The sequence below is a fragment of the Homo sapiens genome, chromosome 18 (genome assembly GCF_000001405.40).
Source record: "Homo sapiens chromosome 18, GRCh38.p14 Primary Assembly".
In the NCBI taxonomy this organism is placed as follows: domain Eukaryota; kingdom Metazoa; phylum Chordata; class Mammalia; order Primates; family Hominidae; genus Homo; species Homo sapiens.
This window is the reverse complement of record NC_000018.10, coordinates 64,697,749-64,721,680: the sequence shown is the minus strand read 5'-3', so window position 1 is coordinate 64,721,680 and position 23,932 is coordinate 64,697,749. Positions and strand designations below refer to the sequence as shown.

At 34.6% G+C, this 23,932-nt stretch overlaps 1 annotated feature.

Annotated features, from left to right (window-relative positions):
* Positions 572–1,072: an enhancer, noted in NCBI's record as "H3K4me1 hESC enhancer chr18:62387844-62388344 (GRCh37/hg19 assembly coordinates)". NCBI's record gives its function as "activates a minimal SCP1, AML or CMV promoter by ChIP-STARR-seq in primed H9 embryonic stem cells {active_cell/tissue: H9 hESC(primed)}" and the evidence as "EXISTENCE:reporter gene assay evidence [ECO:0000049][PMID:30033119]".

Below are 23,932 nucleotides of genomic sequence, written 5' to 3'. Positions count from 1 at the left end.
AATAAGGCAGTGGGCTGGCTCCGTGGCTCATGCCTGTAATCTGAGCACTTTAGGAGGCCAAGGGGGGTGGATCATGAGGTCAGGAGTTCAACACCTGGCCAACATGGTGAAACCCTATTTCTACTAAAAATAGAAAAATTAGCCGGGCATGGTGGCAGGCACCTGTAATCACAGCTACTCGGGAGGTTGAGGCAGAGAATTGCTTGAACCCGGGAGGTGGAGGGTGCGGTGAGCCAAGATCACGCCACTGCACACCAGCCTGTGTGACAGAGCAAGACTCCGTCTAAAAAAAAAAAAAAATGTAGTGAAGCAAAGTATTTCCTTGATCCCTTTGCTGGACTCATGACAGGGGTGCCTTGTTTACTCAGCCTGCCACTGTCAACTCCTGGCGGAAGGGAACTGGAGTGTTGGAACCAGCTGGCCGCTTAGGCACTGGTGGGATCAAACTCCTTTCATGCAGACCTCTGCGTTCCACCCGTCATGGAAGGGAGCGCACAGGTGAGCGGGTGCAGGAGCCGGAACAAGCACTTTTGGGCTCCGGAACAAGCACTTTTGGTCTCCAGCAGGAGCAAACTCCGTGCAGGACCCACAGCAGCGTCCAGTCAGGATGCCTGCGACTCCAAAAGCCCCAAGGGGCGTGTTACAGTGATCTTTTAGCTCTGCTGTCCACAGACGGCTTAAGTGTTAACAGCTCAGTGGGCCCTCCGCCCTTTTGTGTGAGATAGCTGCCCTCCACCAGTGAGGGCAAAGGGCCAGTGTGACAGCCTTTTGTATCCTCACTTCTGGCTCCTGAGCTCTTGTCCGGCATCCAGGATAAATGAGGTCACAGGAACGAAGTGAAGGATGGTAAATGCTGAAGAATTTATTTCCAAGTGGCTTTCAGTGGGAAGGGATGCTGAAAATGTGATGGGGGGGTGGGTAGGTAATCCTCCCCTGGAGATTCTCTTAAGTTACACCATCAAGCTGTTCCTCTGAAGTCAAGCTGCTTCTCTCTGACATCCAGCTGCTTCTCCTGTCTGCAAGCTGGGTCTGGGGTCTTTACAGGCACAGGATGGGGGTGGGGCAGGCCATGGGTAGTTTAAGAAAAGGCAACATTTGAGCAAGAAAGCAGGGATACAAGTTCTCACTTTTGGCACAGTTTCAGGCTTTTTGGCTTGAGTGTGGGATTTTTTGGGGACCCACCCTTTTCTAACTAGAATTTCTCTGCCTCGTATCCCTATCAGTAGTATCACTAATTTGTGCTGCCATAATTCATAAAGATTTAGGAGTTAGGTAATTTTACATATTACTTCCTATCATATTATATTTAATAAATCAGGGTTGAGATACATTTATCTGATGTCAATGTATTTGTAAAACTACTTTGTTTAAAATAAAACAAAAAAATTTTAAATTGTGCATAACTTTGAGTGAAAGGAAAATTATCTAAAAAGATGTGCTAAAAATAAATATTACATTTCTAGTAAACTTTGTTAATACGGATGTTCCTTCCCAGTAGTTTGAAGTATAGAGATAATCAAAAAGATGAAAAAAACTACTTTGCCTGGAAACAAGAGTTAAGCTTTCATCAGTTGTTATCAGATGTTCGCATCCTCAAAATTTTTGTACCAAAAAAATAGGACTAATTTGCCTTTCTTAAGTGGTTACTTACTCTCTCCCCCTGGAAATTTGCATTTATAAACACCAATGCTTAAATTTTAGTTATTCTAGCCTGTTGAATTTATATTCAACATAACTAAAGCAACAAGGAACCAGTCCTGTCATCCCCAAATAATGTGGAACATTTTGACTATAATGAGAGAAGAAACTATTGAGGGCTTAATTTCACATAGCCATTTAATAGAAAATTGTTATGTAACGCAGATAATTGAACAATCCCTTTACAGTTAGTAACAAAGGAGAATAAGTATTTAATGTTTGATGTATAACCTCATTTCACATTTTCCTTTTCGTTTGCACCAGTTGCTTTAACTATAAGTTCATCTTGTCTTAAAGAAATGAGAATATAATCACATCCTAATTACATAGCTTTGGGTTATTTGTACGATTAAGTTATCTGTTACAAAGTTAATGAATCTTAATAATGCAATTCTCTTTGGAGACTTGATTGATATACTAACATTTATTGTATAGCACAGTCTATTAACTGTGTGTGTGTGTGTGTGTGTGTGTGTGTCTGTCTGTATATATATATAAACACACTCTTCCAAATCACAATGTCACTTATGGCAATTGTGTTTCTAGACAGGCTCTCAACTCTTAAAGTTCTAAATATTTTTGAAAAGAGCACTTATGCTAACATGTTTCTCTTAATTTTTTAAAACAAAACAAAACAAAACAAAACAAAAAAAACCTCTTGGGCATCAGTGTAAACCAGTCTCCTGAGATTTGGGGGGAAATATGTCCTTTATCCCAGCTAGGGCCAAAAATTGAAAAGTTAAATAGCCAAAAATGTGTCTCAAAGATTAATGCTCTTGAAATGTAATGCAGAAAAATTTGGACAATAATGGAGGAAAACCTTCTTTATAAAACAGGCTAAACTTAAAACAAAATCAGTCTCACAAAGTTAGCACTAAGCATTAAAATCACTGAGGAAAACCTTTTTGCTTTTTTTCTTCTCCTTAGACAGTGTCAGCAGTCGCAAATCAGGTTAGGGTTTAGATCACTGTGTGTTCTAAATTATATTTATGCCCTTGTAAAGCTGTGCAACATGTTGCCTTGCGTAAGAAATCTTTAAACCACATGTTCTGGCAAGTAACTGCTGATATTTACTTCCAAAATTCGATCTGGTTGCTTTAGATACTTCAGCAATGACCTTTAAAATAATCAATTTTGGCCGGGCGCGGTGGCTCATGCCTGTAATCCCAGCACTTTGGGAGGCCGAGGCGGGCGGATCACGAGGTCAGGAGATCGAGACCATCCCGGCTAAAACGGTGAAACCCCGTCTCTACTAAAAATACAAAAAATTAGCCGGGCGTAGTGGCGGGCGCCTGTAGTCCCAGCTACTTGGGAGGCTGAGGCAGGAGAATGGCGTGAACCCGGGAGGCGGAGCTTGCAGTGAGCCGAGATCCCGCCACTGCACTCCAGCCTGGGCGACAGAGCGAGACTCCGTCTCAAAAAAAAAAAAAAAAAAAAAATAATCAATTTTAAGACTATCTTTCAGATGCATTCTTGTATTGTAAGTCATCACTGGCTTATACCTTATTATGATAATTTCAAAACAATTACCTTATTTCTTCCAATGTCTTTTGATACCTAAGATTTCTAGACTTAATTTTAGAACATAAATCTTCATAAAGTACAATATATTCTATTAAAAAAAAATTCCCCATCATTGGAACCAGCATACCAAAGTTGCATCAAGATATAAAGTTGAATGATGTAGGTAATTATAAAGATTATTTTCATCTGAAGTATCCACATAATTGAAGCAAATGTGATTTCTGCATGTGGGAATTATCTCAATTTTCCACTTCAGTTGGTTAGTGTAAAAATAAAGAATTTTAACTTTTTACATCCTCAAGCAATTAATACTTAAGCACAAATAATATACTAGTGTTGATTTTCCATGGCCTTCTGTTTAGCATTGAAAATGTATGCTACTTAAATGGTTAAATAAAAGTGTTGAAACCTTTTACTTGTTGACGTTCAGAATGCATCTTAAACTACTTCATTATGAAAATTGAGAACTTAACATTTCACCACTATTTGTTCTCTTACACATTTTGTATAATAAAAGTAGATAAAAATATATACTTCCCTAGATATCGTCATTCTGGAATTAAATTTAGAAATGGTTTTAAAACAATCTATGTCCCCTCAGGAGTGGAATTGTAGCATTGTTTGCACAAGTTTATACTCAAGGATGTTTCTGCCACTTTATAACAATCTTTTTTCATATTTATATATTTATATGCAATTATAACTCTAATATAGTTTTAGTTTCTCTAGTTTTATTATTTTCTAACTACTCACAAGATATTGGTAAGAGAACTTTTGGCAAATGTGAAAATATAAAGTTCACTTTTTAAAAATGTAAATCTAAAAAATGTGAATAATTTTTAATTGACTATGTTCATATAACTAGATTTTCAGTACATTAAGCAGATAAATTGATATGAATTTATGAAAATGAAATTCTTTTGCTAGATTGATGGCATCAGCGTTTTCCAGAAAAAAAGACGTACAAACATGCCCCATATATCTTTTAGATTTATTAACATGGCTTTGAGATACACTGACGTGCCTAGTTTTGAGTGGAAATTTTTTAGAATGAGAAAAAATTGTGTTGGTTACAATTTTATAGGAAGATGTTACTTCGATAAACACCATTTTTTGGCTTTTGGGAAGTTTATTCATTTTTATGTATTTAATTCTTTGAGACAGGTTCTCTTTCTGTGACCCAAGCTGGAATGTAGTGACACAGTGGTGACTCACTACAGCCTCAAACTCCAGGACTGAAGCAACCCCCTTACCTGAGGCTCTTGTGTACCTCGGACTACTGGTGTGTATCACCACACCAATGAATACATTTTTTGTAGAGACTGGGTTTCACTCTGTTGACCAGGCTGATCTCAAACTCCTGGCCTCAAGCAATCCTCCTGCCTTGGTCTCCCAAACTTCTGGGATTACAGGCATGAGGCTTTGCTCCCAGCCTCTATGGGAAGTTTAGATATCCAACCTATCATAACTTTAACTTCTCATTGGTACGAGAAAAGTATGGAAAATATGTGACAGAATGTATTGGATTGAGCAATTTTTGTAGCCTTGTTTTATAAGAAGAAATAATTTTTAACTATATATACTTCAGAAAATAAATTGTGATTCCTTTAATTGATCTTAGTACCAGATTGTGCCTTGGAATGTAGTCAATGGTAATGATAAGAATACTATATTATGAACACTCAGAAAGTTATTCTGTGCAAGAAATATTAAAATTTAACATATAATCTTAGGGACTCTTCCTCACTTTTTCTGCATTCAGTCCCACAATTTCCCATTGTTACAGAGGTGAATCCTCCTCATGAAGATAATGACCCTGAGCCACAGGTGCCTAATCTGATAACAACATATATAATAGACAAGATAGAAAATTGGAGACATATTAAGGCAAATGTACTTCACAACAGTAAAGTAATAAATTCAATCCTAAAGGAGAATTTGTAGATGTAATTGACAGTGAAAGAGTAAGAAAACCACTCTTTAACAAGTATTTTTGTCATTGTTCCTTTTTTAGTAATATAAACAAGACGATGTAAAACTTACATTTTGTTTCTCATGGTATGCTATGACTATCTCCTCAGACTATGTTAATTAGATAATTTCTCACTCCCAACAGTGGAACGATGTAAACATAAAAAAAATTAAACTCATATGTGTTACTGTAGTGATTTTATATCTATATATCTCTCTTTTAATGTGAAACTTTCGTATCATTGGTTTTATATATATGTATGTGTACATATACATAAATATGTGTGTATATATACATATATGTGTATTCAACACAAAAATAAGCAGTTCTAAGGACTCAAAATTAACTAATATTTATAGAGTGTGAGGTAACATCTCATACATGATATCCCCTTTTTATTGATATGAATGCTGTATTTCAGAGTAGTTAAGCAACTTTCTCTAGGTTATGTGAGTTCAAAGTGATGAAGCAAATATTCAATCTAGATAGGACCCTGAGGTTCATATTTTTTCCACCAAACAGGCTGTTAAACTACATGTCAAATCCTGATCTTTCACCATTTCATAGAAAGTTGAAATAAAACTAATTTTACATATGCTTTCTTTTGACAGGACTCTATTATAAATGTCAATATTAAATAGTGGGTAAAATTGCTGAAAGTGTGAGAAATTCACAACTGTGAGTTGGAAATCCATTATCTCAAACTGTGTTCATATTGACATGTTCAAGCAGCGTGTGTATCTATCTACCAACATTTATCTAGTGAACGGTGAATTTCATAAATATAACTAATTAATCATCAAACTCACGCACTATTCCCACAATGCAGCCTAAATGTGCAAAATGATAATAAAGGACAGAAATGTATATATTTGCTATTTACATATATAGGAGAGAGAGACAGAGAGGAGAAAGAATATTCAAATATGTAAGTGTGCACATTTTTTGTCTGAAACATATTTTTTCTCTCTTGCTTTCCCTATCTCTTTCTTCTATTCATTAATCTTTTTCAATGTATCACTTTCAGTTCCTTGATACACTGATTAGATGTCCTGTATAATGTCTACACCAATAGCAAACCTTACTGATTTTGTTCAGTTAGGCTGACTATGGTGTCTACAGATATATCACAGCAAATATTTTCGTTCGATCACATTTTTTGGCGTAGTGAAATTGTTCCAGATTCATGATGATTTAAACAGTAATTAAGTCCATTTTATATATAGAAACTATAAAACTAGTTAAAATTTTGCAACTTATGAGGCATGTAGTTCTATATTTCTTCATTATATGTGGGGATGAGAAAGAATATGTTGCCAAAGAATAGAAGCCACTCACTTATATTTTGAGAAAGGCAATTTCAGTAATACTTTATTTAGACAGCTGAAGAGATGAAAAGGTGTTTAGAATTGAAAGCAATCCAGTTATTTATTATTGATTTTTGTTAATTTAATAAAATTATATATATACATATATATATATATACACTCACATATATATTAGGAAAGAGGTAGAGCCAACTATAGCATTTGCCTCAATGTACGCTCAAATATTTTTTCAGAAATGTATTTGGATACATAGCTATGGGGTTGTGCTCTTTGTGCTCTTTTTGCTCTTTCTTGTTTTGAAAAATTGTTTAACACTTTGGGATTTAAATTTATTTCTGATTATTTTTAATTCAAGAAGTTCCTGAAAATGACCTAGTCTTACTTTGAGATTTTATTTACTGATCAAAAGAAATGAATAAAGCAAAATTTGACTTGTGACGTTTCTCCTGATGGGCAGTGTAAAATAATTTTGCAAAAATATATTCACTTTCATAAAACAAAGTTACTATCACTTTTAAAATTAATTTACATAATTAAGGAAGTTAAGCAAGAAACCAAGGCTACATTCCTCTTTGGATTTAATTAAAACAGTATTTTATACTGTTGAGCCTGAATTTTCTTTCTCAACCAGCTAAACAGAAAATAAAAAATATATTAAATTGCCCCCAATGTGACTTTGCAAAGGGCTCAGTTAATTTAATTAATCTATCTTGAGTCTCCCTAAATTCAGTATCAGCCAACATGGATCAGTAAGAGAAAGGAAAAAGCCATGAAGCCCTTTCTGCAAGGCTGAGGTCCATTTAGAGGGAGGAAGTTGATAAATGAAAAAGAATCACCTCTTCCCCACTTTGGAGATGTAAATTAATACATTCCAGTGAACTGTTAATCATTAAACTTTCATGGTTCACAAGTTACAGAATTCTCTAGAAATGTAGGGTCATTTAAATGATTATAAAAATGAATGTGTCCTCAGATTATGCACAATTTTTCATCCTTTCTGGTGTCAATAAAGAATGTCATTTTTCTTGTGTAGGCAAGGAAACAACTTCTCTCTTTCTACAACTAACAAATCCCTACCTTGTCTTGAATACCCACCAAAAGGATACCTCCCCTGTAAATTCTTCCTTGGCAAACACAGCCAATTTTTAGATTTTTCATCCCTCTGCACCCCAGAATGCTTACTTGCATTATTAAATATGGAATTGAAGTTATTTGTTTACATGTGTCTTAATTTTCCAAGGCATTGGAGGGAACAACTTATTTTCCACTGAGCACTTTATTTTAATTATTTTATTTACCTTTCTGCCAAAGAAGAGAAACTCGTTGAATTTATCTCATTTAATGGGATCTAACTTTAAGGCATCATTTGGATCTTCAATAATAATATGGTTTTATGTCTGTCTGGTGGTGTTTTTTGGATTTCTTTGCCAATAATGAGGCTTAGGCCATCTGTGCTTATGAAACCGGTCCAATTGTCCCATTGAGCTAATGTTTATTATTTCTTTGAATAAACATAATAATTGATCCACCCAGTTTTAAAACTTAAGAAAGTTACATTTGTATTATTTGAGTTCCTTTGTCAGGAAACCAATCATCAAGGCTTGCAGACAGAATCAAGGAACTGAAACTTACCAGATCATTGCATTCAATGAGATGCCAAACCCTTCACCCACCACAATTGCCTGCATGAGCACCGGCTTCCTGTTGACCAACTCCTCTTGCTTATGCCTCCTTAAATCCTGTTTTGCCACATATGGTTATATTTCTTCCCTGCTATATAAACCCCTCATTTTACTCAGGGAGATGGATTTGATACTGATCTCCCACCTCCTCGGCTACAACACCCAATTAAAACCCTCTTTCTTGCCAATACTCATTTTCCCAGTGATTGGCTTTCTGTAAAGCAAGCAGCAGGGCCTAAACTGAACCCCTGGTGTTTCAGTAACATTTATATGTGGGAAGAGCAAAAAATGGGTGTGGAGCAACACAGACCTGGTTTTAAACCCAGTTCAGCACTTAGTAGCCGAGTAACCACAAGCAAGTTATTTAAGTATCCTAAACCCTAAATTTCTCACCTATAAAGATTAATGCCTACCTCCAGGGTTGTTTGGAGAGTTAGATGTGTATGGAGGTGTCTACATACACATTCACACATGCACTCAATATATTCACATTATAATATAATCATATATAAATGTTCAATAAATTATATCCATCGTCCCCTTATCTTTCTCCCCAGTGATTTCCAGTTGTAACTCGGGACTGTGGGTATTTCCTGTACAACAATAGATTTCACAGAAAATAATACTGTGTCCCAGAAAAAGAAGAAAATACTTTTAGTTCTTCAACACAATTTTTGTTTGTATTTATCATGTACAACACAAAGTTTTGAAGGATATATACACTGTGGAGTGTTTAGATAATTAACAAATGCATTACCTCACCTTGTGATTATTTTTGTGGTGAGGATAAAACATCTACTCTCTGTGTTTCCCAAGAATGTAATTGTTTAACATGATGTTGTTTAAAGTTGAGGGTAGACTATCTACTTGATCAAGAACTTAGCTATTCTTTCCTTTATTCACACAACTAATTTTTGTTTGCCTCTCCTGTTGTTTCCCAATAATACTCTTCACTGCAAATCTCTTTTCTTGCACAGACAGATAATGAGATTCAGGTATATTTAACATACTTGCATGATGCCAAAAGAGTCTGCAAAGAAACAATCAAAACAACATGCTTATAAAAGATAAAAGCTGAATTATTATCAATTTATATAAAAAGCACTGAATATTAGAGTTTGTTATTGCAAGCAAGTGTCGCTTAACAGGGATACATTCTGAGCAATGAGTACTTAGGTTATTTAGTCATTGTGCAAACATCCTAGAGTGTACTGACAATAAGCTAGATGGCATAGCCTACTACACACCTAGGCTGTATGGTACCACCTATCACTCCTGGGCTACAAACCTGTACAGCATGCAACTATATTGAATACTGTAGGCCATTGCAACATAGTGGTAAGTATTTGTGTATCATATCTAAACATAGAAAATATACTATCAAATATGTTATAAGAAATAAAATATGACACACCTGTATATGGCACTTACCATGAATGGAGCTTATAGGCCTGAAAGTTGCTCTGGGTGAGTCAGTGAGTAAGTGGTGAATGAATGTGAAGCCTAGGACATTACTATATACTACTGTAGGCTTTATAAACACTGTACACTTAGGTTATCCCAAATTAATATAAAACAAGTCTTTCTTCAACAATAAATCAACATTAGCTTACTGTAAAATTTTTACCTTATAAACTTTTATTTCTTTAACTTTTTGACTCTTTTGTAATAACATTTAGATTAAAGCAAAAATACATTGTACAGTTGTGTAAAAATGTTTTCTTCTTTACGTCCATATTGTGTAAGATTTTTTCTATTTTCGACTTTTTACTTTTTAAATTTTTTTGGTTAGAAACTAAGACAGAAACATACACATTCACCTAGTAGGTTAAGGATCATCAATACATCAGTAGGTGACAGGAATTTTTTAGTTCCATTATAATCTAAGACACCATTGTACGTGTGGTCTGTCATTGACCAAAGCATAGTTATATGGCTCATAACACTATGTTACACTTTACATTATTCAACGGTTTCCATCAGCCATTCTGAATTATTTCTTTGATTGTATGTATAAAACTTAGGAATAATATTCCCTCTAAGTCTTTACATGTTATTTGGAATGATGTAGCTGGTTTATAATTTTAGCCATGGTGCTGGGGAACGGCCTCTTTGTTGACATGCACCATAGCAGCATACTTTGTACCAGTCGGTGGTCTCTGTTCAGCTACCTCATTTTATGCCGGCGAATTTTATCTGCTGCTGCTTCTGAGAGCAAACAAAACATACATATTGTAATTCCCTTCCCACCAATTGCACCAGGTAATAAGACCTTTAATATTTCCCATGAGACAGGAGGCTTAAATATTTGTTTCTAAAGTCTTGTAGGTTTCTAGTACATGCAATTACCTGAGAAATGATAAACTGTGTTTACTTACCATAGTTGTTATCAGCCACATTTCATCCCAAAGGTCAAAAATTGAAAGAGGAGTAATAAAATCCACATATATAAAAACCATCTTTATGTCACATCAAGAAATCCCAGTGTACCTCTTAGGAAATAGTAATATACAGAGAGATTATCTCATGGGTGTTCCCCCCAATCTTTAAGTTTTCCACATAAAGAGAATAAAACTAGAAGATGAAAAATAATGGAAATGTATGCATTTTGAGAATATCAGAATCACAGGAAATGCTTGTTAGAAAAGAACTTTCTTGTCCTCCTCTATAATCCATTCAGTAAGAGGTGGGGGGATGTGGCCTTGTCTCTGAACTTGTAACTTCTGATGATTTGTGAAGTCCATTAAATTTTGAAAGCTGCCATGCTCTCCAATAATACTGATGACTAAACACATTTGAATGAAGCTCAGGATACATTCTCTTTCTTGTCAACCCAAAGTTATATTGGAGTTTCAGAGCATGGGCATGAATGGGTGTGGTTTTATGTGAGTGTGTTGGAGAAGGAGGTGAGTGGTGTTTATTTGATGAAGAGTCACAGTATCAACAGAAATTTAAATAAGGTAAGAAAATATAAGGTAAATATTCCAATATATAGGAATAAAGAATATTAGCCTTCTTGGAATACCAATTTTACTGTATTCACAGTGATCTTGGATTCAGATTTATAACCACATGGATAAGGCACAATGGGCTATATTCAGCACCAAATATATTTACTTTTAAGGCAGCATGGAGAACAGTAAACACTACAGCCTATCCTGAATCATCACAGCAGGACTCTTCTGACTCCTAGGCCTACGATCTGATGTCCAAATCATCCTGATTTTGGTATGTACTCAGTCATGAAAGATGAGGCTGAGTCTGTGCCTATGATTTCAGCTCAGAGTTCTGGAGTCCCTTGAAGGTTTAAACTCCACAGGTGTGCACAAGGGGCCTTCCTCACAATCCCTGGGATGCGGAAGACATCCCCCATCCCCACCATCCTCCAGGACAGCTGTGTCTCAGTGTTGATTCTCAGTCCTTAATAAACGCTCCCCACCACAAAGCAGGTGTATGTTCTTGGCCTGAGTTTCACTGATCTTGGATCTGGTATAGGTATGCTCCTGATAACATCTTGAATTCATATTAGAAAGAAAATATATCAAAGCTCAAAGCCTCAGGTTTTCCTGAGGCTAGAGAAAGCCTTTAGAACCAGCTGTTATCCCTTTCATTCTGGATCCAGAGCTAGACATTTATCTACATCTTTCCAACTGATATCATAGATAAGATGATAAAGAAAACAAACCTAAGAGAAAAGGTTAGAAATAGTTACATTTTCCAAAATGAAGAAGTAAATAAGTCCAATTTGTCTTGTGACAAAGAACCTGGAAGATTACATAATACTAGTTTTTAATAAATGATGTTCTCATCCATACATATATATATACAAATCTGAATCTGGTATAGGTGTTGTCCTTATTGGACAATGACTTGAATTATCTTACATTATGTGTGAAAGAAAGGAACGTCCTTTCCAGTTGAGCAGTTAGTATAGGGTGCGGATAAGGTATTTATTTGGTGAGACTTAATTTCAGCTTACTATCTTAGTGAAATTCAATAACTCACTGTTAGCTTAATTATCATTAATTATCAACTCACTATTAGTGAGTTACTGAATTACACTAAGATAGTAAGCTGAAACTAAGTCTTACCAAATACCTAAAATATATAACATCTGTATGTTATATATATTATATATAACATCTGTATGTTATATATATTATATATAACATCTGTATGTTATATATATTATATGTAACATCTGTATGTTATATATATTATATGTAACATCTGTATGTTATATATGTTATATGTAACATCTAGATGTTATATATGTTATATATGTAACATCTATATGTTACATATATAATATATATAACATATGTTAGTGAGCTATTGAATATATATGTATATACTAATGTATATATACTAACTTATGTATATATGTATATACTCACATGAATACTAACGTGTATACTAACATATATGTTATGTATATAATATAACCTATATATAACATATATGTTAGTGATTTATTGAATATATATGTATATACTAACTGTGGTTGGTGAGTTATTGAATCAACAAAATTAGCATATAAATACTAATAGTGCATATATAATATATACTGTGTGTATGTATATATATACACTAATCTTGTTGATAGTTATACCTATACTTGATGAAATTAAAATATATGTTTTTAACAACATCCTGAACAGCAGAATTTTTATTAACGTGAATTCGATGTATTTAAGCAGTATTTAGCTATGAAAATAAATATTTAAGAGATTTGTCTCATTTGCAATTTTATTTTATTCAACTTTTAAACAAAGAATCCAAAAATCAAAACAATTACAGGAACAGTTTCTTCAGGGTTGGATAATGCATTTCCTAAATCAAAACAAGTGTACTTAGCTCTTATATGTTTGCCAGGAATCATTTTCTAGGTTTTGAATATATTCTATAAAGTGTACCGCTTAAGATTTATAGTGATCTTTAAAAGTAAACTTATTGGACAATGACTTGAATGTTCTTACATTATGCGTGAAAGAAAGGAACGTCCTTTCCAGGTGAGCAGTTAGTACTTATCTACACTGGGTGTGCAGGGTAGCTGAAGGATTTGGTATTTGGTGAGAATTAGCTTCAGCTTACTAGCTTAGTGAAATTCAATCATTTAAATGGAAAACTTGTTTGTTTTCAATATGATGATTAATATAGTATCACATTTCCTTCAAGCTCAAAAATGTAATATCAACTGGCTCTCTTTTTATTGGGAGAGGAAAGATTTGTCCCTGCCAATTCCAGAAGTCCATATTAATTTCTGACAGCTGGGAGACGGAGAGATCTAATGAGAATTGTATTAATTCAGAGTGTAGCCTGAACTAAACTACTCATGAAGGAAGCGTGGCGGAGTGAAATGCAATGTGATCTTCTAGATAAAGTCTGAATTTGAGCTCTGGCTTGGCCACTAGTGACTGTGGTTTTAGGCAAATGATTTAACCTTTGAGAGCTTGAATTTTCCTAACAATAAAATATATTTATTCACAATCCCAGGGAATTAGAAAAAAAAAATAATATGTCTTAAAGATCTTTGTATTTGGAAAAAGAAAAAAAAAGCTACAGAACCACACTACTAATGGAAGATTTAATATGCTCATTTGAAAGAAAAGTCACACTTGTTTTATATAAAAATAATAGCATAATTCATGCAATTCTTAATCATGAAATGCATGAGTGTCACATAGTACATTACAAGCAGAAAAATAAGAATGGTTTACCTACATGTAAACTTTGAGCATTCCAACGAACACTTAATGCCAGCCTTATTTGGATCTAATGTGATATCATTTGAAAAGGTATATTCAGTATACAAAATTACAATTTTATGAATAGAATGATTAGGCTCAAAATGTAAAAAGCATCTTTTCAGAAGCAAATGTTAATGAGATTTTATAGTATTAACTATAATCGGTAATCTACAGACCCTAAAGGTAAACCAAGTAGCCACTTTAAAGGCATTACCTTTAAATTTGTTATCAATCTGTCTATTTTAATTTGGTGACCAAAAGGTAGAGTTTTCTAAATAATATGATAATGAGTCAGAAGCTATGGCATTAAATATGCATATGTTCAAGTTAGTACAGTGGTTCTCTTTTTACTTACATTCATGTTGCTGTGAAATCATTTAATATTTCCTCAGAAGCTGGGAGACACTTTGTTCTGTGGTATTGTTTCCCATTAAATAGTTTCACAATGTCAGTTTTGCCATCACACACACACACACACACACACACACACAGACACACTCATGCTATTTTCATATTTACAGCTTTCTTGGCAGTTGCAAAGATCTAGTTTTTGCTGATATCTGCACTATGCAGGTTTCTGTTCAAGTTCCAGTCTATATACACATTTTTTCCATTGGTATTGTTCAGGTTGACACATCATTGCATATTCTCTTGTATTATTGTCAGTATTATTGCTAATCCTACCATATATTTATGCACTATGTATACCAAATGCCTTTATCTAAATTATTTTCTGTTGATACTGCACTTTTTACTGTATTAAATATAAAAAGGCAATAAATAAACTCTTGTTTACCTTAATTAAGAGGAAGAAAGCCTGTACTTTCTGCTTCAATCTCCTACCTCATAGCTCTGGGAAAGTTGTTTCACCAGACTCTAATGAAAAGACTCAGAGATGAAGTAGGGGAGAATTGGAAGGGTACTACCTGAATAGACATCAAGAAATATTCTGGGGGAAGAAACTAACATAAAATCGGTAATCTAATTAAACTAATTTGAATGTAAACCACTGGTTTATGTTAACAATGACTGAAAATTGGATGTGAGCAGATGTTAGTTTTCTTCTGTTAATGAGAAGGAAAGTGCAAATATTCTAGGAATTTTAAAAGATGTAATTTAAAGAAAGCATTTTAAAGAATCCCATGGTTTTTGTAGTATGTAGCATGCTGGTGTATAGGAGACAGTTAATATATATTTTTCGACCCACATTAAAAATATCTAATAGTATTAAAAAGTTGAAAGGATGTTTCTATAAGTACTTCAGTGATACATAAAACATATCTACAAAAGAAAACTGAAATAACAAGAACTTTTAAAAAATGTATGAAGAATAATAAGATAGAATTATGACCAGATACCAGTAATACTAATAGATGTGAAAGTGTTTAAGTCCTTATTAAAAAATGACCATGAAAGTTTTGTTGTTGTTTTTTCTTGTTGAGAAAACCTGAATTTTCCTAGAATTACGAAACATGTAAGTTTGATAATTGGTCCACTTTTTATTTCCAGTGATTTATTTTCCAGCTTTAGATGTTTTTTGTTTCTTTTGTTTTTTTTGTTTTGTTTTGTTTTTTGAGACGGAGTCTCGCTCTGTCTCCCAGGCTGGAGTGCAGTGGCGCCATCTCCGCTCACTACAAGCTCCGCCTCCCGGGTTCACGCCATTCTCCTGCCTCAGCCTCACGAGCAGCTGGGACTACAGGCGCCCGCCACCACGCCCGGCTAATTTTTTGTATTTTTAGTAGAGACGGGGTTTCACCATGTTAGCCAGGATGGTCTCGATCTGCTGACCTCGTGATCCACCCGCCTCGGCCTCCCAAAGTGCTGGGATTACAGGCGTGAGCCACCGCGCCCGGCCTAGATGGTTTTCTTATAGCCTACACTGATTGGGACTTACTTAGCAGAAGATAGAGAGGTACCTCTGAAGGTAGCTGCGAATCTTTCTCTTGGGATAGCTCATTCTTCTCGTCACGGCTCTCTCCTCTCTGCCACTCTGCCCTGCGGATTCTAGTCACCCTGGCTTGTCCAAATACTACACTTTTCCCCTAATTTCAGATAGACTTGGGAGCTCTCTTAGGGTTCCTGGTCCCAAGGCTGCATCCTGGCATCTCTGTCAAGATAGTAAACCTGAAAATCTTAAGTTATACCCCATGTATTTTCCTTCTTTTAGAAACTATTCCTGTATGTTGCCTGTTGTCCAATGTTTGAAACTTTTTTATATATATAATTTGTCTGGATATTTAGTGTTTTAAAGTACAGGGTAATTTTAGTCTCTGTTATCCATTATGGCCAAAAGAGGAGCATTTTTTAAACTTTTTTTTTGTTTGTTTGTTTTTTGCTAGTCCCATTATCTCTGTCATTTCACAGCTGTTTCTAATGATTGAGTTTCCTTGTTGGTATGTGTCATAAGTCCCTTCTTTCTCCCCTGGTAACGTTTTGCTGAATGCCAGGTACTGTAAGTTTTACATTGTTTGTTGTTAGATATATTTGTATTATTTTATATATTGTATTATTTTATTATCTAAAAATGTATTATTTTAGATAGTGTTGTTGTTGTTTCTGGCAAGCAGTTAGATTTTGAATGAAGTGGATCCTTTTAAGCCTTACTTTTAAGCTTTGTCAGGAAAGGTTTAGAGCAGCCTTTAATCTGATGCTAATTTGGCCTCTCTATTAAAGTGATAGCCTTCTGAAGATTTTACCCAAAGTCATATAAATTAGGATGTCTGATGTGAATAAAACTGTTCCCAGGCTTGTGTTATTTGTGAGAATTGTTTTGCCTAGTCCTCCCTCGTGGTTATTTTCTGGCCTTGTGTAATAGAATATTATTCATAATTATTAAAAAAGTAGAAATATCTATCAACTGATGGACATCAAATAATGAAGAGATACATTGTTTAAATAAGGCATGCTCATACAATGGAATATTAGTAGGCCATAAAAAAGAAATAAAGTTTTAATACATGCTACAACATGGATAAATCTTGAAAAATATGATGCTACATGGAAGAAACCAGACCTAAAAGGCTACATATGGTATGACTCCATTTGATATGACTCCATTTATACGTAATGTTCAGATTAGACAAAATTATGGAGATAGAAAGCATATTTGTGGTTGCCACAGCTGGGAGAAAGGGGAACTTTAGCGACTGCTAACGTGTAGCGGTATTCTCTTTGGGTGATGAATATGTTCTGTCATTAGACTGTAGTTATGAATCCACAACTCTGTGAATATTCTAAAACTGTAAACTGTATACTTTAAAATATCCACTTTGTAGTATGAAAATTTTATTCCTACCAAGCTATTATTAATGAATGATAATAAGGAAATAACCTGGTCATTGTTTAGCTCAAGATGTATACGATGAGAAGTGTGCAGAATTATCTGTGAAGTATTCTTGACAAATTTGTTTAACATGAATTTAATCCAACTTCGATGATTTATTTATTATTGTATAGAGGAGATATTTGTAACAGAGAAATAAATTAAACTACACCACAAGCAACATCTGAAAATTTCAGAATATTAAACATTCTAACAGTCAACTGCTCTGATTTTCTCATCAAGTCAATGTCATAGAGGAATAAGGGCATGGCAAGTACAATAAAGCCCTAGATTAAAGGCACAATCATCTAATTGCTATGTATGAACTTTTATTGGCATCAAGTTCAAAAAAATCACCAAAACAAAAAGACGTTTTGGAGAGAAACAGAAGACTGTGAATACATACTGGAGGACGAATTATATTAAATGATAACAAGAGGTGAAGAACAGAAACTATGTTTAATATGGTATTCTCTTCCATGTTACTACTCCTTCAGGAAGAAAGGACATATAAAATTGAATTCTAATATTGCTTTGTAGATTAAGAAGAAATATTAAGTGTACACAGGACAGTTTTTCTGCAGAATACCATTGCTTTATGATTTTTTTTTTGGTTTAGAGCATTTATTAACCGACCATCCAACCCAAAGGTATACACTGTATGTTATCACGCTGTCTTTACAAAATGATGCTACCTTGACTCCAAGGTAGCATCTGCGAAATCTGCAAATCTAGTACATATACGAATCTTCCTTTTATCTTGAAATTAAGAGCACTTACATAAAAGTTTTTAAGGATAAGTTGTAGAGGCTTAATTGCAGTTCTCCATCCCAGAATATGAGAAGATGAAAGATGGTAGGGCTTCAAATAAAGCCTTGAAACTTACTCACCTTTCATTTATTTGTGTCAAAAACCTACATCTTCACAGTTCTAGTATAATAAGCTGTGGCAGTCATGGGAACAATTCCAGCTCCTGTCTTCATTATATTGAACCTGTACACGTGGTCTATTGATAAGTGGTTGCTGTGTCAGGTGCTTAAAAATGGGGGTCAAGGAAAGCATAAAAGAACTTCAAGAACTGGGTGAGATGACTTACACCCCTAATCCCACCAAATGGGGAGGGGGAAGGTGGAGGACAGCTTGAGGCTGGGAGTAGGAGACAATCCTGGGCAACATAGTGAGACCCTGTCTTTGCAAAAAGTAAAAAAAAAAAAAAAAAAAAAAAAAAAAAAAATTAGCTGGATGAGGTGACGTGCACCTGTAATCCCAGAGTCTCAGGAGGCTAAGACAGAGGATCACTTGCTCCCAGGAGTTTGAGGTTGCAGTGAGCCATGATCACACCACTAAACTCCAGCACAGGTAACAGAGCAAGAGATAAGAGAGTAACATTCATAGAAATATGCTAATGCAGATAATAATAATTTGGATTCAAATTTTTGTACATTTGTGTGTAGATGAATAATTGAATTTATGCAAATTAATCTAAGTGCAAATAAAATTAAGAAATTCTAACTGTGTTTACCAATTGTAGGAGATGGAAACTAGTGCATAATTTTCATCTCACCCACCTGTTGGACTCTCACCTAGTCCCTACTCCTTGCTGGGTAGGACAAATATCAACTCTTAGATTAATGCAAATCATAAGCCTAAGAACACTCTCTTTCTCTGTTCTCTTTCTCCAGACTTTTTTATGGTTTTTTTTTTTTTCTTTGAGTTGGGGTCTCGCTCTGTCACCCAGGCTGGAGTGCAGTGGGGCAATTTCGGCTCACGGCAAACTCCATCTCCCGGGTTCATGCCATTCTCCTGCTTCAGCCTCCTGAGTAGCTGGAACTACAGGCTCCCGCCACCACGCCCAGCTAATTTTTTGTATTTTTAGTAGAGATGGGGTTTCATCATGTTAGCCAGGATGGTCTCGATCTCCTGACCTCGTGATCCACCTGCCTCGGCCTCCCAAAGTGCTGAGATTACATGTGTGAGCCACCGCGCCCGGCCCAAACATTTTAAGTTTAAACTCATACCCCTGGGACCAGAGGACATTAAATCTAACCCCTAGAATTGAATGAAAATAATTTAGAAAGTTGGAATGTTAAAATTAGAAATTAATATTTGAAGTCATTAATTGAAAACAAATATTGCTTTGAGTAAACGACAAAAGAGATTTTTGGACATTTGAAACTATCCTGAAGTCATTACACAATAGTTTTGAGATACAAAGGAAGACAATGACTAAAGTTATGCTATATAAATTTCTAAAACAGGAAGAAATAAGCTAAAATAGTCTTCGGAAAACAATATATTTGTATTAGAGTTAAACAGAAGTAAAAAATTTCAAATGACCAGTTCCTTTCGCTACCGTGGGAAATGCAAGGGACAATATGTGTATCACTTTTTTTTTTTTCTCTAAGAATGCAGCATCCAATGTCCTAGATACCAAGCAATTTTCATGCTTCCCTTGCAGTGTATGATTTATTCATGATTTGTACTATCAACCAGAATAGTTATATCATTTTTCATGAATTTTTCTGACATTGCTCATCCTTCTTTTAAAGACTGATTTCTTTCATAGCACCTCAACTTTTTTTCTGATTTTTTTTGAGGGGTGTGACACGGTGGTGTTGAACTGTTGCAATATCAGCAGTGTCTCAGTTAATGAAACCTCTCAGCTCAAAAACACTTCATTTCTCTTTCTGTCCCTCACTTGGAATTGCACGCTTTTAATCCCCAAAACTATTAGGCAAGGGAAGGAAAAATGCTGTTTTCGACAGTGCATTTCAACCTGAAGCCTGGAGAGAGTGGAAGAGCTGTATAGTTAGAATAAGATGCCATCACATACCAGAATATGTGTAAAGTTTGAAATCCTTCCTTTTCAAAATCATAATGTATACAGGTATAGTGGAAAAACAAACCAAATGGCACTAACAAATCTCAACTACAAAAGTAAAACAATGTCTTTGACATCAATATTTGTGTGCAGTGATTTCACCCACAGACATATAGAGTTAGTGCTGTAAGCATTCTGTCCTTCATGCATGTTGACTGTTACCTTGCATTTATGTGACACGCTTTGGCAGCGTGACTATATAATTTCTCTTATATCTAAATCATATCCCTTGATATTTTTAGGTAGTTCTGGTGTTGTCATTTAATCTTATCATGTCTTTACAATCAGTTAAAACTAATTGAAAATACATCTCTTAGAAACTACCAAATAAAATTATGAGATGTAAGATATCTCAAAAATTACTGAGAATAAAACAATATATCCTGGCCAGTAGCTCGTAGAAAGGTAAAATACTTTAAAAGTTAGTAAGAGTGTAGGACTAGTTTTCTCTGTTCAATGGTGACATTCTAATGAAATTTACATTTTGGGTCTATTTTATATTTAAAATAAATTACAGAAAATAACCTATGTATTTAAAAAAGAAAAAAAGCAAATATATTGACTACATTTTGTGGGTAACTGGCATAGAGGGGCTGTTACTCAGCAAACCATAAGAGCCTTTTGGCAGATTATAAGGCAGATATAAAGATGTTTGTGTAAAGGTTGGAAATTGATGTGTTCTCCAAAGCACTGTTTTCTATTTTCAAACCTTAAGGATGAAATGATTAAGAAAGTCTAATTCTTAAGGAAGGACATAGCCACTGAAAACTAACAACGATGTTTCAGATATATATTGCACATTTGCCTTACATTTCTCTAAATGTAAGTGTTGTACATCTCCTTTTACTGCACGTCCTAAGAAGTGTCGAAGAATGTGAGAATCACACTAATCTATTCCATTACTAACTTGTATCTAGCAAAACAGTCTTTCTTTTTATTAGAATATTTTTCTCAAAAGCCTTGAGACAAAAGTTAGAAGCAAGTTCTCAGGTGGACTTAATCAGTGAGTACAGCTAAGACTGACAAATAATTAAATAATAAAATGTCTTCCCCTAAATAAAAGTCCGTAAGTGCATTATTCAGCAGGACTTATCTGAATTTATAGACTATATGCAGAAACTTGTCAAAATAATTCAAGAGTCTGTTTCATATTTTGGCTAGTCATAAGAAACATTTGATAATGATGTTGACTGCTATATGCATAAAGCAGAGTGTATTGTCTTGTGTGGTGAGTATTGAGGGCTGTAATTAACACAAGATATTTTAGATTTATTCCTAAATACTTTTGATAATATTATATCCCAATTAGGTATTTCTGTGTTTTATGATAATGCACTGAGCATACTTTCTTTCAAAGTTTTGCTCTTGCCTTCTACATAAATAACTTGTGAAACATTATCCATTCTCCTACTTCTTCTAAGCCTTATGGTACGTAGAGAAAATTGTACTTATACACAGTGTATTTATTCAGAAGTGATGTGGAACAGCCACTATGTGAGAAACCGAGATATTTCGGGGACTGAATATGTAATTAGGGCAAGTCACCAGCTACCTATTCTTGAAAGGCTGGAGTATAGTGACTCTGATGCTCTGTTTAGAAGGTAATAAATTTGAAGAATAAACTGGAGATATTAATATATGCCTTTATTCATTAAAATGGAAGAAATTGAGTATAATTATGTGCATACTCTTGGGATTAGTGTTTATAGTGCTATGTATTGCACAGACATCCTTATTAGCTCTGAATTTTTATTTCTTGTGTGCAAAATTGCATTGCACAGTTTCACAGCTTAAAACCATAGCCCTTAATAAATCAGAAGTGTTCTATCTAGTCAATGAGATCACTAACTGAAGTGTCAGCACTGCTTGAAGAGGAAGTCATATAACACAAATTAAAAGCCTCTATTTTTTACCTAAATAAAACAAACTTAGAGGGGAATATAAAATTCTTTCCCCAAATTTCACAGAGGTATGATGCAACAGTTCAGGAAGTTCCATGATATCTTTCAAAGCCAAAAGTAATTAGAAATAGAGAAATCTAGTTATTGCTTTATGGGAAAAATGTCACAACAGGTATGTTCTTATTAAAATCATGAAGTTTATCTCTCACTTATATCTTTCAGGGGAAAGAACTATTATGACTTTCATGTACTACCTTCTTCTTCCTAATAAATTTTGAAATTTCAACATCAGTCCAAATGATTTATGTCACTGATTAAGCAGACATTAGGAGATGATTTTGTAAAGGCTCATGTGAGCCATATCTTACGTAAAACTGTTCTCTCCAAGTCTGGTTGTGTTTAATGGCCTAGCATATCAAATGATTTAGGCTATATTTGGTGGATTACAATGAGTGTGTCAGTGCTCAATGAAAAATAGTATACACACCTATGAATTCAAAAGTACCACGAAGTAATTAGAATGTGTTGAAATACAATCTCATAAAACGTCCTACCTTATATGGTTTAGATATTTGTACCCTCAATATCTCATGTTGAAATGAGATTCCCTGTGTTGAATGTGGGGCCTGGTGGGAGGTAATTGGATCATGCAGGCGGATCCTTCATGAATGGCTTAGCACTATCCCTTGGGTGATTTAGTGAGTTCTCACTCTGTTAGTTCGCATAAAACTTGGTGGTTTAAAAGAGTCCAGTATCTTGTGTTTCTCTCTTTCATGCTGCCCTTCTTGCCATGTGATGTGCCTGCTCTCCCTTCAACTTCCGCAATGATTAGAAGCTTCCTGAGGCCTCAGTCAAAGCTGAGCAGATGCTGACACTACACTTCCTGTACAGCCTGCAGAACCGTGAGCCAATTAAAACTCTTTTCTTTATAAACTACCCAGCCTCGGGTATTTCTTTATAGGAATGCAAGAACAAACTCACACACTACCTAACACAGAAAAATAAATGAAAGAAAATGCATTAGCTTGCAGGTCATTGTGGTACTTCCTGAAACCATAGCTGTCTCAGTGATCACTAAGATCTGAAGTTAATTTATTGTCAACTTTGCAAATGCATGAAAATCATAACAGTATTTGTAAGAAATGAAAAGAAACAAGGAGCACAAATACAAATGAGGAATTTACAAAATATAGTTGTTACCACAGTATCCATAAAGGGTATAATGTTTATACTTGGTGCATAGAAGAGAAGAGAAATTATAAGAAAATGTATCCATCTGCTTTCTGGTGAATTTAAGAACGTCTATTAACTGTCATAAATCATATTAAAATAACCAGGAGGTAAAATTAGCACTATATAACTCCCATAAAAATATTGAGTCTAGAATATATAAAGAAATCCACTATGTCAGTATGAATAACGTCATTCTATACTAAAGCTGAGAAAGTATTTCACAAGTATGGAAAAATAAATGGCTAATTTAAAAATGCTCTATTTTATTACGAATCAGAGATTAATACCATGCTTAAGTCCATTTCACAAACAGAAATTGGGGATATTTTTGAAGTCTAAGAATAGTAAGGATTGTCAAGAGTGTGTACAATCATAATTCTCATATACTGTTCGTAGAGATACAAATTGGGAGAAAAATTTGGAAAGCAGTTGGTATATTTTAATAATGTAGCTGTTTCAAATTTGTTTCCTTCCTAGATATATACCTTATAGAAATTCTCATGCACAAGTACCAAGACACGTGCCCAAGAATATTTATAGAAATATCGTTCATAATATCAATTAAGTTAAAATATTAAAATGACCATCAGTATTAGGAAAAACAAATTATGTATATATGTGTGTGGTTATACTCATATATC